The sequence below is a fragment of the Homo sapiens genome, chromosome 4, assembly GCF_000001405.40.
Source record: "Homo sapiens chromosome 4, GRCh38.p14 Primary Assembly".
Taxonomy (NCBI): Eukaryota; Metazoa; Chordata; class Mammalia; order Primates; family Hominidae; genus Homo; species Homo sapiens.
The window spans coordinates 22,360,432-22,376,680 of NC_000004.12; the positions used below are offsets into that span (position 1 = coordinate 22,360,432).

General features: G+C 37.7%; 1 long non-coding RNA gene across 1 annotated transcript; it reads right to left on the bottom strand.

Annotated features, from left to right (window-relative positions):
* Positions 1-6,140: 6,140 nt before the first annotated feature.
* LOC124900841 (uncharacterized) lies at positions 6,141-15,809 on the bottom strand. Its single transcript, XR_007058429.1, has 2 exons — positions 15,299-15,809; positions 6,141-14,945 (listed from the first exon to the last, which is right to left on the bottom strand). It is a non-coding gene; the product is annotated as an uncharacterized LOC124900841 (long non-coding RNA).
* Positions 15,810-16,249: the final 440 nt, after the last annotated feature.

The following is a 16,249-nucleotide window of genomic DNA, read 5'->3' on the forward strand; positions in this document are numbered from 1 at the left end:
CTTTTCTTGTTAATCCTGTTGTACTTTCTTCCACTTCCAGTTCCCAACTGTTAATTTGTTATCCAGTCTCCTCATGCACCATATTGAAAACAGAGCCTTCAGTTAATCATAACTCAGAAACCCATAGCAAATTGTAAAAATGGCCACATCATAAAGTCTTCTCATCCTGTATGCACACTCATTTATGACTTTACAGTTCTTCCCATCAAGAGATGAAGTCTATTCTTTACTCCTTGAATTTGGGCTTAGCTATGTGACTTACTTTAGTGGATGGGACATTAGCAATGTGTCAGGAGCAAATGCTTGAAAAGTGCTTGTGCATTGGAGTTTACTCTCTGGATGGTCTTTGGAAGCCTGGGACTACCATAGGAAAAAATTCAAAACCAGCCTGCTGATAAGAGAACACGTGGAGCAAAGATAGCATCTCAGCTGAAGCTCTCCTAGACCCTCCAGCCACAACCAAGAAATAAGCCAGCTAACCCTAGACATCAGCCACGCCATCTCAGACCAGAAGAAATGTCCACCTGATTAAGAGAACAGTGAGAAATTCTTATTTTAAGCCACTAAATCTTGGTAGGGGTTAGCACACAGTAATAGCTAACTGATACATGTTCCTTCTGCTTTCATTTCAGTACTGAGAGCAATTCACATGCACATAACTCACTTCAAAGTCCCATGGACCCAGCAGGTTTGGGAATTTAGATGCTAATAAATGGTAATGATGTTTGTCCCAATAGTTAAGTTGTAAGTCATCTTTATTTTTTAAAGACATCGATGGATAAAATTAGAAGTGAAAATCACATTATGTCTAAGTTTAATTTAAAACGAGCTTTACAAGAATAAAGGAAAGGAAGAAAGAAAGAAAAAGAGGAAGGGAGGGAGAAAATAGATAAAGTAGGACACAATGTTGATAATATAGAACATTAATAGATGGTGTATTTGTCTGTTCAGGCTGCTATAACAAAATACCATAGACTGGGTGGCTTAAGCAACAAAAATTTATTTTCTCACAGTTCTGGAGGCTGGAAGTATGAGATCAGGGTGCTAGAATGGGTAGGTCTGGTGAGTGCGCCTTGCAGGTAGGTGGCCAACTTTTGTGTGCTCAGAAGGCTTTTCTTCTTGTGTGCAAATTGGAGAGATAGAAATCTGTGTCTCTCTTTCTCTCTCTCTCTCCTTCTCTCTGTCTCTCGCTCTCTCTTTTTCTTATAAGGCCACAAATCCTATTGGATTAGGACCCTACCCTAATGAACCCATCATCTTTAATTACCTCCTAAAAGCCCTAACTCCAAAAACGTCACATAGTGGGTTATGACTTCAACATATGAGTCTGGGGGAGAAACAATTAAGTCCATAGTAGAAGAAAATTCATTGTCCTAGTCTAATTTTTTAGATATTTGAAAACATTCATAGAATTTAAAAGCATAACTATATTTTATCTTCTACTCTCTTGTTTATGCAGTAAGAGACAAAAATTCTCCCTAGAAGAAAATTCTGGAAAGCTCCATGATCCCTTTATACCATTAAAAATTCTTGATTAAGTAATTAGAAAGTCCAGTTCAAGATAATAAAGTTGTAAGTTTGCTTTAATATCAAGTCTTCTCCTATCTTCCAGACTGCTGGAACTGCTATGATTCAAAGCCTTGGTGACAGTCAGTTTCTCCATTTCTACACCTTATCTTCCATATCAATCTAAAGGTGGCTTTATCCTCTATGAGGACTTACATGTTGGAAAAATGAGTGGAGGTATCATTAAGTTGCCCTTGAGCTTTCTGGGACCCACTCTGTTCCATTTCCCTTGACATAGACAAGGCCATTATTGGCCTTCATCTCTGAGTTCTGCCAACAAAGCATCAGCCTATGTATTCTCTGTTACTTCAGTAACAAATTATCATATCACACACTTATTATTATAGTTCTGGAGGTCAGATACATGAAATCAGTTACCTACTTCAGAAGGCTCTGGTGAAATGGAGACAGCCTGTTTCCTACCTTTTCCAGCTTCTAGAGACTGTCTGCATTCCTTGGTTCCTGCCACGTCACTCTGACCACTGCTTCCATCGTCACATCTCCTTCTCTGACTCTGACCCTCCTCCCTCCCTTTCAAAAAGACCCTGGCAATTACGTTAGGCCCACCTGGATTATCCAGGATAGTCTCCCCATATCAAGGTCCTTAACTGAATCACATTTGCAAAGTCTCATTTGCCACGTGAGGTAACATATTCACTGATTCTGTGGATTAAGACATAGGTATCTTTGGGGGACTGGCATTATGCCCACCACATCCTGTCTCTCTGTACATTTCTTGGGAGTAGGTAAGTTATTACTTATTAAGTTATATATTACTTATTATGTCTCAGTTTCAAAAAAAAAAAAGAAAAACATAGCAGCCTTTCTAGGTCTCCTCATGGAAATCCCTCCCACTAGGTTGGAGGCACAGAAGGCAGCACACCCCTCTCCTTCTCCAAATATGGCAATAGCTTCTGCAAAGATCTGTCTTCCCCAGTCCCCTTCTCAAAAGTCTGTGTGACCTCTTCTTTTATCCTTAGCATGTCAGATGTATCTAGTATTTTGGAACAGTTCCCTTTACATTTTTTTCATAAAATTTGCATGTGATGCTTTCACACCATTTGGTGCCCTGATACTCATGGAATTGATACCTCAGTTGACACTGAAGCAGGGAGAGTTGCATTCCAACATTCTGCCCATAACTATTTCCCTAAAGTAGAAATATGAAATTATAAATGGTTCTTCATGAATCGCTAAATTCTTAAAGCATGTCTTTTATGTCATGACAGAATGTATCTGATGAGTCAAAAGGAATTTCAATATTCAAAGGTGACTATTAAATGAGTAACATTCTATAGAACGCAAAACTATTTTTAGAAGAATATTTTTGCTTCTGAATAGCTTTTCAGTCACAGTTACACTGCTCCTTCTTGAATTAAGAACTATCACTCAACCAATCTCCTGTTCATATGAAAGAGAATAATTTTAGCTGGAGAGCAAACCTCACCTGCAAAATGTTAAATGCAGATATGTGAGATTGGCATACTCTATTTTGCTGAAAGAAATATATTACTTCATTCTTAAATGTCTCTCTACTAGTATAATGGATGGTTAAAATAACTTTTAAAATCTATAAATTTATGATGAAATAAATTGTATTCACATTTTTATTCCAACGGCAAGAATGAATTAGAGTGTTTATCTAAATTATAGAATTATGGCATTTCATGATCAGATCTGGAGTATTTCTTCCATCAAACATTGAAATTAAACATCTCTGAGAACATGCAAAAAATGAAATGGAGGCTCTCTTGGTGTATTAGTTTAAATTCTTTTTGGATGCAAGTAACAGAAATCAACTCTAGCTTCCACAACAAAACAAAAAAAGGTGGAGTGGGAGGAAGGGATTCAATGAGAGAATGTTAAACCTAAGCACTAAAAGACCTTGGGGCTTTTTTGTCTCTTTACCCTCTGTTTTTCTCTATCATCCTCTCTGGCTGCAGTGTTACGTAGGAGAATTTATCACTGCCAAACCTTTCCAAGTCTCACATGCAATGACACACATAGGCTCAAAATAAGGGGAGGGAGAAAAATCTACGAAGCAAATGGAAAGCAGAAAAAAGCAGGAGTTCTATTTTAGTTTCTGACAAAACAGGCTTTAAACCAACAAAGATCAAAAAAGACTGTGATTACATACTGGGAAATGGTTTAATTCACCAAGAAGAGTTCCTAAATTACCAATTCAGCCAATAGAAAATAACAACTTTTTCTTAGTTCAAGTTCCCAGGGAAGAGACTACCTACCCTGGTTGGAGTCAGGTACCCATTCCTGGATAGCTGACCATGGCCACGTGATCACACTGCATGATGGTTACTCCTGCTGTATCCATGCTGTATCCTGCTGTAAGATGAAAGGGTACAAGAGAGACAACTATAGCAGCCCATTCCAAAAAAGTGTTTGGATAGACCAGTGCTGAATACCTAAGAGGCTGTTCACATCTGGGCATATAAATACCACAGAAGTCATTGAAAGTGTCTGTTTTCAGGGTTGTATTATGTTTGCTTCTTCTATGTCCAAAAGTGGCACCTAGAAAGGTCACTTTTTATATTATCATCTCTGGTTGTAAAAACCAGAAAATGCAGGCAGTATGAGGTTAACCACCAAATCCAAGTGGTCGTAAACTTACAGAAGAGACAAATCAAAGCCCAAGTCATGACTTATAAACTATCCAGGGCTCTACCCCTAAACCTGGGTTAATTTTTTCCTGTGGATGTGGCTATTTGAGGGACTCAGCTTTATTTACTCATCTCAGCTGCAACTCTTTGCTTCTGTATGCATCCTTTGGCCTGTCCTGTATGGTCATTAAGAGACAAGGCCTTTAGTTCACAAAACCCTCCAGGTTACCATGGTGCCAACTTATCAGTTTAAACCTGAAGTCAATAAAGTGTATGGAAATCTCATATAAACACCACTTATTAAATACGGTTTGCATTTAATGTCAGGAACTTTAAATTGTAATAAAGTCTCAAATCATTTTACCCTTTTATCCTGTTTTTACTTGTTGGTTATAATCATTCTAAAGATACAGGGTTTTCTTTGGCTTTTCATGAAGCTAAACTATTTCAGGGATTGCTGCATGTGAGGAGATAATCTAAATCTCATGTCTTCAGGAACATGGCTAGGACTGTTCTACAGTAAGATATTCCCCTAGGATTTTTGCCTACACTGAGACAAATGTACATTATAATGTATACTCAAATGAGAGCACATTCAAGAATCTTCACCAAATGGGATTCACTTCCAAAATCACTAATGTCATGAAATAAGAAGAAAAAACTACCAGAATGAGGAGTTATAACATATAAGCAAAAGCCAGCATGGTGGCTCATGACTGTAATCCCAGAATTTTGGGAGTCCAAGGCAGGACGATTACTAGAGGCATGGAGTTTGAGACCAACCTAGGCAACATAGCAAGACCCTATCTCTACAAAAAAATTTAAAAATTACCCAGGGGCAGTAGCATATGCCTGTAGTCCCAACTACTCAGGAGGCTAAGGTGGGAGGATCACTTGAGCCCAGGATGTTGAGGCTGCAGGCAGTTGTGATCACACCACTGCACTCCAGCCTGGGTGACAGAGCAAGACCCTGTCTCAAAAAATAATATGTGCAAATATGTATGTATACACACACACACACACACACACACTATATATATATATATTATATATAGATGGTAAGGGAATCTTTGGAAGGTGAGTAAAAACAGAAATTATGAACAAATTTAAAAAACAGTTTCTCACTGAACTTTAAGGTAAACAGAAGTAGTCTAAACAATGTTCAGAGGGCAACATATAGCTTTAGATATATATATTTGAAAAGGAAAATTATATATATATATATATATATATATATATATATATATATATATTTACAAAGGAAAATAATTAAAAACCTACTTTAAGAAATTAGAAAAAAACAAAAATTTAAACTCCAAAAAATGGAAAGAAGGAAATAAGAGCAAAAGGCAGTAATGGTAGAAAGCAAGCATTCCATAAAGGCCATCAACAATGCCAGCATCGCTTTTCTAAAAAGGTTAATAAAAGTAACAATTCCTTAACAATATTCAATTTTTTAAATGAAGAACAGAACAAAACAGCATTATGAGGGATGAAAAAAGTGACATTGTCACACACTTTTAAAAGAAGAAAGAATATTATAAATAATTTTACAACAATAAATTAACTTGGATAAAACATATTTCTTAAGAAAATAATATAACTTTCCATGACTGAACAACAAAATATAGGAAATATTTAATAGCTCGGTATCTATGAGGAAATTGAGGCTTTAAGTGAAAAGTAGCCATGAAAGAAAACTTGAGGCCCAGATGACTTCACTTAAAACTTTTCCAAATACTTAAGGAATAAATAATACCAATCTTACAAACACTCCTCCTGAGAATAGAGAATGACTAAAGCATCACAATTTATTTAATGGAGCCAGTATATTAATTGACCTAAAACCTAATAAGGAATTAAAAGAAAATTATAGACCAACTTCTTCCATAAATGTAAATAAAAAATTTTAAAAATACACAAGCAAATCAAATCCAGTGATACATAGGAAGGATAATATTTTATGATCAAACTGTTTATTCCAGGAATGCAAGGTTAAACATTCAACTTTCACTCAATGTGCTTGACAATAGTAACAGTAAAATAGGAAAAAAAACATTTTAATAAATACAGAAAAGGCACTTAATAAAATCTAAATTCCATTCATAGTAAAAACTAAGCAAACTAAGGATAAGAAAATTTTCCTAATATCATAAAAGGTATCTATAAAACACCTAACTCTAATATATTAAAAGGAGAAATAAAGGATGACTATTGAGGCAAAAATCTTGATCAAAATACCAGTTAAAGCATATTGAACTGATTTGACACCAAAACAACTGAGATTTATTCCTGTAATACAAGGATAGTTCAACATATGCAAATTAATGTCATAGTAACAGAATGAAAGAAAATAATGTTGTCATCTCAATTGATACAAAAAAAGTATTTAACAAAATTCAGCACTTTTTCATGATATATACTATCAACACACTAAGAACAGAAGGAAAGTATCTCAACATAATAAAGACCATATGTACAAAGCCCACAGCTAACATCATAGTGAATTGTAAAAGAATTAAAAACTTTTCCTCTAAGATCAGGAACAAGACAAAGATTCTTGCTTTCACCACTTCTATTCAACGTAATACTGGCAGTCCTAGCCAGAGCAATTAGGCAAGAAATAAAAGGTATACAAATTGGAAAGGAAGTAAAATTACCTCTATTCAAAGATGACATGACTGTACATGGGGAAAACTCTAAATGAAATCAGCAAAGCTGCAAGGTACAAAATCAACATGCAAAAATCAGTTGCATTTCTATATGCTAACAATGAATAATCTGAAGAGAAAATTAAGAGAGCAATCCCATTTATACTAACATCAAAAACAATAAAATAATTAGAAATAAATTTAACCAAGGAAGTGAAAGATTTGTACACTGAAAACTGTACCACATTGATGAAAGAAACTAAAGATGACACAGATAAACATGGAAAGACATCCCTGTTAATGGATTGGAAGACTTAACATTGTTAAGATGTCATCGTTACCCAGTGATCTCTAGACTGAATGTAATTCATATCAAAATCCCAGCAGCATTTTTTATAAAAAAGAGAAAACCCCTTCCTAAAATTCATATGGAATCTCAAGGGACTCCAAATAGCCTAAGCGATTGTTATTTGCTGAACTGTGACCACCCACAATTTGTATATTAAAGCCCTAAATCTCAGTACCTCAGAATATGACTGTATTTGGAGACAGAAACTTTAAAAGTGTGATTAAGTTAAAATGATGCCTTTAGTGTGGGCTCTAATACAATCAGAATTGTGTCCTTATAAAAAGATAAAAACTTGATACATTGAAGGACACCAGAGATGTGAGTCTACAGAGGAAAGGCCATGTGAGAACAAAGCAAGAAGGTGGTCATTTGCAAGTAAAGACAGAGGCCTCTGCAGCCAACAAGCCTGCCCACCTTGAACTTAAACTTCTGGCCTGAGCTGAGAAAATAAATGTCTGTGGGTTAAGCCACGGAGTCTGTGATATTTTGTTATGGCAGCCTTAGCAAACTAATACAGCAATCTTGAAAAAGAAGAACAAAGTTGGAGGTCTCACACTTTCTTATTTCAAAACTTATTACAGTACTACAGTAATCAAAATAATGTGATACCGCCAGAAAGTCAGACATAGAACTTTCTTACCTCAGTCAAACTACAAAAAATAATTTAAGGCAGATTAAAGTTCTAAATGTGAGTGCTAAAACAATCAAGCTTCTAGAATGAAATACAGAGAATAACATCATAATCTTGTGGTAGACAACGATTTTTTAAACATAAGACATTAAATGCTAACCATAAGATAAAAGATTGATATACTGAACTTCATTAAAATTAAGAACTTTTATTCAACAAAATACATTAAGAGATTTAAAAGGCAAGCCTGAGACTGGAATAAATATTTAAAACTGATATATCTGACAAAGGCCTTTTATAAGAAAAAAGACTGACAACTCAATTTTTTTAACAAGCCTTGAACAAGCACCGAACAAAATATCCAAATGACCAATGAGCATTTGAAAAGGTACACAACATCATTAACCATCAAGAAAATGCAAGTTACAACCAATGAAATATTATTCTGCCTCTACCAGATGGCTAATACTGGTGACGATGTGGAGTAGCTAGAATTCATACATTGCTGATGTGAGTGGTTTAACTATTTTAAACAAGTAGATGTTCTATGATCTCAGCATATATCCAAGAGAAATGAGTCCTTATGTCCACCAACAGACAAATGTAAGAATGTTCAATATACAAGAATGGAAGTTTTGATAGTCAAATATTAGAATATCACAATAGAAAAAGAATGAATTCCTGCTAAACACAGTACGGATAAATATCATAGTGTTGAACAAAAGAAAACAAACACAAAAAAGATGTAAGATATACAGAGTACTATTCTACCTGTAAAGTGTGCAAACAAAAAGTAAGCTAACATATGGTGATGGAGGTTAGAATGGTGGTGACCTTTGGGGAACATATTGACTAGAGGGGGTCACAAGGGAGCTTGCTGGAGCACTGGCGATATTCTACACCTGATATAGGTGGTACTTAAATGATTGTTAACATATGTGACAGTTCAGCAAGCCATACACATAACATATGTGCATTTTACTGTATATTAAATAATAAAACACAATTTTAAGAAACAGCTCCAAGGCCATTTATTTGCTACAAATTTAATAAATTGTAATTATAAGTTCAATGTTGCAACATTACTATGACCAAGTCAAACTTTTAGAAAATGAGCATGCCAATACAATCATTTCTAATATAAATATTATAGGCCATTATAATAGATACTACTTTTTTATTTACTTACTGAATTCTTTGCAAATATACATCAAAATGTTGACTGTGTTAGTGGCCACAAAAAATAAATACCTAGGAATAAATTTAACTAAGGAGGTAAAAGATCTCTACAAGAAAAACTATAAAATACTGATGAAAAATATTGAAGAGGACACACCACACAAAAAAAACTGGAAGGCATGCTATGTTCTTGGACTGAAAAAATTAGTTAATTAAAATGACCATAGTGATAGGGACAGGAGGCAGGAAAATTCTGGGCAGAAGAGGGCAAGTCCCCAGTGAGGGCCATAACCTCAAGCTGAAAAACCTGGAACCGCAGCCCAAAGTGAAAATGTACATCCCTGCTTTCCCACTTGAATGTTACCTTTTCAAAAACCATCCATGGCCCACCCTGTCCCCCATCCTGTGCCTACAAAATCCCCAGAACTCAGCCAGCAGTGAGGAGAAGCAGCAGAATATCAGAGTCTATGGCTGGATGTCAGAGAGAAGCAGCTTGCCTTCAGGACAGCTTGATGGCGTAGCTTCAGAAAGGAGTCCAGCCAGGACCGCCAGACTTCAGGGGAAGATTATCTTCCTGCTCCATCCCCTTTTTGGCTCCCCTTCCCGCTGAAAAAGCCACTTTCAACAGCAATAAAATCCCTCGCATTTACCATCTTCAATTTGTTCTTGCAACCTCATTCCTCCTGGACGCCTGACAAAAACTCAGGTACCCTGAGTGCAGGTGCAAAAGGCTATCACACTAATCCTCCACTGAGCTGTTAACACTTAAGCTGTCCACAGATGGCAGAACTAAAAGGGTAGCCTAACACTTCCTCTGGGGTTTCAGGGGTCAAAAGCACTGCCCCCAGGCACTGCCGCAGGACCAGTACAGGGTCTGCTCCTGCTGGCACCCAAAAGCCCTCACCCCAGCCCCTGCACTCACTCACCAGCACTCCCCACTAGCAAGGGGTGGAGCAGCCACTGAGTGGAGCTCACCCCTGCTGGTGCCAAAGTGGCCAGCTAGTTCCAGCACCTGTGCACTCCAGGTCCCACCTACGAGGGGGTCAGGGAAATATCCTGCTTCAATACTACCCAACGCAATCTACAGATTCAATCCAATCCCAATCAAAACACCAATAACACTCTTCACAGAAAATTTTTTTTAAATCCTAAAATTTGTATGGAACCAAAAAAGAGCCCAAATAACCAAAGCAATCCTGAGTAAACAGAACAAAGCTGGAGGTGTCACACTACCTGACCTCAAAATATATTACAAGACTATAGTAATCAAAACAACATAGTATTGGTATAAAATTAGACACATAGACCAATGAAACAGAATAGAGCTTCCAGAAATAAATTTATTTATTTACAGTCAACTGATATTTGACAAATGTGCCAACAACATTTATTGAGGAAAGGACAGTCTCCTCAATATATGGTTCTGGTAAAACTGGTATACATATGCACAAGAATGAAACTAGGTCCCTATCTCTCCCATTAATACAAAAATCAACTCAAAATGGATTAAAGACTTAAATGTAAGACCCCAAACTATGAATCTATTATAAGAAAACTTAGAGGAAACACTTCAGGACATTGGTCTGAGATAAGACATTATAAATAAGACTTCAAAAGCACAGGCAAAAGAAGCAAAAATAGACAAATGGGATTAAATCAAACTGAAAGCTTTTGCACATCAAAGGAAACAACCAACAGAGTGAAAAGGCAAACTACAGAATGGAAGAAAATATTAGCAAACTACTCATCTGACAAGGAGTTAATATCTAGAATATCTAAGAATATATAAGAAACTCAAAAAAAATCTGATTCAAAAAACTGGACAAATGAACTGAATAGATATTTCTTAGAAGAAGATATAGAAACGACTAATAAGCATATGAAAAATGCTCAACATCAACATCACTAATCAGGGCAATGAAAATCAAAACCACAATGAAGTATCATTTCACCTTAGAACGGTTATTATCAAAAAGACAAAACATAACAAATGCTGGCAAGGATGCCAAGAAAAGGGAACTCTTATAAAATGTTGGTGGGAGTGTAAACTAGTACAGCTATTATGGAGAACAGTATAAAGATTCCTCAAAAAACTACAAATAGAAGTACCATATGAGCCAGCAATCCCACTACTGGGTATATCTCCTAATTTGGATTTGTGTCCCCTCCCAAATCTCACCTCAAATGGTAATCTCTCGTGTTGGAGGAGGGGCCTGTGTAGGAGGTGATTGGATCATGGGGGAGGATTTCCCCCTTGTTATTCTCATGATAGTGAGTTCTCATGAGATCTGTATTTCTCTGTTTAAAAAAGTTTGTAGCACCTCCCCCTTCTCTCTCTTCCTCCTGCTCTGGCCAGGTGAAGACGTTCCTCCTTCCTCTTACCTTTCCACCATGATTGTTAGCTTCCTGAGGTCTCCCCAGCAATGCTTTCTGTACAATCTTTGGAACTGTGAGTCAATTAAACCTCTTTTCTTTATAAACTACCCAATCTCAGACAGTTTTTTATAGCAATGTGAGAATGAACTCATGCATATCCAAAAGAAAGGAAATGAGTATATCGAAGAAATATCTGCAACCCCATGTTTATTGCAGCACTACTCACACAATAGCCAAAATATGAAATCAACCTAAGTGCTCATTAACATATAAATCAATAAAATATATACACATGGAACACTATTCAGCCATAAAAAAGAATGAAATCATGTCATTCACAGCAATATGGATGAGCCTGGAGGACATTATGTTGGGTAAAATAAACCAGGAACAGAAAGATCAATATCTCATGTTTCACTCATATGCCATAGCTAGGAAAGTTGATCTCAAAGAAGTAGAGTATAGAATAGTAATTACTAGAGGATGGGAAGGGTCGGGGTGGGGGAACAGGGAAATACTGGTTAAAAGATACAAAATTACAGCTACATAGAAGAAATAAGTTGTGCTGTTCTATACCACTGTAGGGTGACTATAGTTAACAATAATGTATTATATATTTTTCAAATAGCTAGAAAACAGGACTTTGAATGTTTCCCAAAATAAACAAATGATAAATGTTTGAGGTGATGGATGTGCTAAATTACTTTCATTTGATAAATGTTTGAGGTGATGAATACTGTATGCATCAAAACATCATTATGCACCCCATAAATGTGTACAATTAGTATGTGTCAATTTTTTTAATGTTGACTGTGTTAGGGTTCTCTAGAGAAAAAGAATAGTAGTTAGATACAGACACATCGATGGAGACATAGAAGAGATTATAAGAATGTAGCGCATATGACTATGAAGGCTGAGAAGTCCTACAGTCTGCCCTCTGTAAGCTAGAAACCCAGAAAAGCTGGTGGTGTCATAATGAGTAGTAGTGATGAGTGTAATAATGAGTCTATGTCACTTTTGTTATAGCCACCCAGGGTGACTAAGACATTGACCATCATATAATTTTCAAACTGACTTGAAATCTAACATTTCTGGTTAGAACCAACAATCGATCTGTGCTTACATTATTCATAATGACAGACTAGATAGGAATAAAGCTCACTGTTGTACATACTGGGAATCTATCCTGTGGCAGTGTTTATTTATGGACTGAACTATCTCCCTTTCCTTCCTATACACATAGCTAGACTATATTTCCTAACTTCCTTTGCAATTAGGCATGGCCACAACTGCATTCTGGGCAATGGACTGTGGATACAAATGACAAAAGCCATCTCCAGGCATGATCCATAAAACCCTCCCATGTGCTAACCTCTATTGTCTGAGTAACGACCTAGAGGACAGAGCCACATAATGGCAGACGCCTGCGTGAGGAGAGCCCCTGAGGAGAGCTGCCAGCTTAGTAACATACATGCCAGATGATTATTCAGTGAGAAACTTTTGTGTTAAGCTTCAGAAATACTGCATTTTTTAAAAAATAGTAGTTTACCCAGACTCAACATGAAAGTTTTTTCTATAGCAATAAAAATTGTCAATCATGGTTGACCACTAAATTAACATCTTTATTCAGTTGTATAAAGGAGTGGATGTCGGTAACAAAATATCCTATTTAGTAGTGAAGCTCACAGTTTTCCTGCTGAATCTGTTCCTCAACATAGTCTTCAACCTAACTTGGTACCGTTGTCGGGGCGTATAAACCAGAGCAACTCCATCTTAAAGAGGAGCTGGGTAAAATGAGGCTGAAACCTACTGGGCTGCATTCCCAGATGGTTAAGGCATTCTAAGTCACAGGATGAGACGGGAGGTCAGCACAAAATACAGGTCAAAAAGACCTTGCTGATAAAACAGTTTGCAGTAAAGGAGCCAGCCAAAATCCACCAAAACCAAAATGGTCACGAGAGTGATCTCCGGTTGTCCTCACTGCTACAATCCCACCAGAGCCCTGACAGTTTACAAATGCCATGGCAATGTCAGGAAGTTACCCTATATGGTCTAAAAAGGGGAGGCATGAATAATCCACCCTTTGTTCAGTTTATTGTCAGAAAATAACCATAAAAACAGGCAACCAGCCCCCCTCAGGACTGCTCTGTCTATGGAGTAACATTCTTTTATTCCTTTACTTTCTTAATAAACTTGCCTTCACTTTGAACTGCAGACTTGCCCTGAATTCTTTCTTGTGTGAGATCCTAGAACCCTCTCTTGGGGTCTGGATCAGGACCCCTTTCTGGTAATGTATTTCTGGTAACCACAGAAGGGACTATAGTGCAGAAACCCGGACCCAACAGCTCCATTTGGGTAAGTGTTCGGATCCTGCAACATATTTCTGGTGAACCACAGAAGAGACGATATTGAGGAGACCCCTGACCCAAAGGAAGTAGACTGCAGCACTAATTGGACGACTTTGGGTAAGTGGTTGGGTACCCGGGTAAAGAATGGGATTGGGTTAGAGGCCCAACTTAGGGAAGTTAGAGACTCTCCTAAAACAGAGTGGGTTAAATGCTCCTCTCAATAAAAGGCAAGGACGCTTGACCAACCTTGGGTTAGAGGCACAACTTTGGAGGGTTAGAGTCTCTTCTAAGATTTAGGGGGTTAGAGGCCCCTCTCAGTAAAGTCCACCTTGGTTAACAACAGGTTTGGCACTACCAGATGTTAACTGCTATTCTCTTTGGATTAATCTGCCTTGTACTCTTTGCTAATGGCTGTGGGTGACAGGGTTAGGCATGTACAGGATCGTGGGACATGGGAAGCTTTTTCTTCCCTAAAAGGGGAAAGTTGAGAGCTAATAGGATTGCTGGAAAAGATCCCTTTGCTACCAAGAAGCAGCCACCTGAACTTTTCAGTGTCGCTGCAATGGGTGGGTCTTTCTCTGGCCTCCCTGAGCATTTCACCTGTCCCACCCTACTAGAGGCAATAATTTTCCTTCTCTCCTTTCCCGTCTTTTTTGTTATTCAGGGCAACCATCTTGCCTAGAGACCACGTGCTGAAACTCCAAGTCGGAGGTTGGATTAAAGATGAAGGGGCCCATGTGGGGCAAATGTAAGCCTTGCCAGTTTGATATTGGGTACTAAGCAGAGTGGCTAATGTCTATGTTTTATCACACGTATTTTGCTCTGGCCAGAACAAAAAAAAATAACGATTTTCCTTTACAATGTGGCTTGGCCCCCAAGGCGATGGTGCCACAAGCTGGATCATTAGTGCTGGTCAGGGAAAGGGAACCCAGAAGCCTGGCATGCCGGCAGAAGGGTAAGAATTTCTTACCAGATTTCTGGCTTCTATCTTTCTATGCAAATGGTTGAACGAATAGAAAAAAAAATTCAGAGTTTATCTCCTCTGAGAAGTTTGTAATTAGTGTGAAAAAGAATTCTAAGGCTAGTCTTAAGCTGGTGTATTTCGTGCCATGAATTAATTTTTCTGTGTTGAGGGGTACTTCAGGATAAAACATGGGCTTAGAATACCTGTAAGCCTGCTTTTCAAGATGACCCAGCAAGCTCATCAGTAACAAACTTGGCTGCAGGTCCCTGAAACAAATAAAAAACTAAATGAGGGCGGACGCGGTGGTTCATGCCTGTAATCCCAGCGCTTTGGGAGGCCGAGATGGGAGGATCATGAGGTCAGGCGTTCGAGACCAGCCTGGCCAACATGGTGAAACCCCGTCTCTACTAAAAATACAAAAATTAGCCAGGTGTGGTGGGTGGGTGCCTGTAATCCCAGCTACTTGGGAGGCTGAGGCAGGAGAATTGCTTGAACCTGGGACGCGGAGGTTGCAGTGAGCTGAGACCACGCCACTGCACTCCAGCTTGGACAACAGCTCAAGAGTCCGTCTCAAAAAAAGAAAGAAAGAAAAAAAAAAAGAACTGGATGAAGTCTCCACCTTCTTTTAAGTCCTTGGGAGCTTGACCTTTTAACCACGTGGAAGTACATTCTCTTGGTCTTCGCCTTCTAAGAAACAGAAATTTTAGGGTTTATGTCATAGTTAGCTCTAAAAATCATATGACATAGTTAAAAAGTCTTTGCAAGCTCAAAATTAACTACCCTAGACTTCTTCTGGGAAAGGGAATAGAGACTGCCCCGTCCTGTAATTCAGTAGCTAGGGTTCTGCACTTTAACAGTGGCGGTCCGGGTTCAATTCCCCACCTAGAAAGTAAGTCATTTCTGGTTTAATATCTGTGTGACTTTGTCTATTCTCTTCCCCTCTGAGGACTGTCTTAAATTTTCCTTTCTCTAAGCACCTAGGAGGTTATCTTTGGTAAAGTTCAGAAGCTAGAAATATTGGCCACTTGGCAAGGCTAAAGTCGGGTAATAACAGATCTGAAACAATTTCTTTTTTAAAGAGCACTATGGTTAAAAGTTAGCTTAATTAAAAGTGGATAAACTATAGATATATTTAAAAGGCCTTTATGTTTTCCTCTTCTTGGAACTTGTTTTCCTGAAAAAGGTCTTTTTCTTCTCAGTCGACTGAATGGTTTTTCTCTTTTTTTGTTTGTTGGTTTTGTCTTGCCACTCAATGCATACATGAGAAGCTCTAAGGTAACTTCTGGTAGCCTGGGACTCCTTGGGAAAAACAGAGGAGGCACCACAGACCCCATTTTGAGAAAAAAAAAAAACTTGTTTTCCTCATGAAACCTGAGGAATTAAAAACAGATAGCTCCCTCTCAAAATCAAAGGCTGTGTTCTGTTTTGCATTGTGTTATCTGACGGTTTTGAGTTTTGGGGGTATCAAAAATTACTTTGCATTATGAGAGAGCTTTGGTATGTAACAACTAGGTAGGAAATATACTTTAAGGGATGACTAATAGTAGTTATGGAGGAATACTTAACTCTT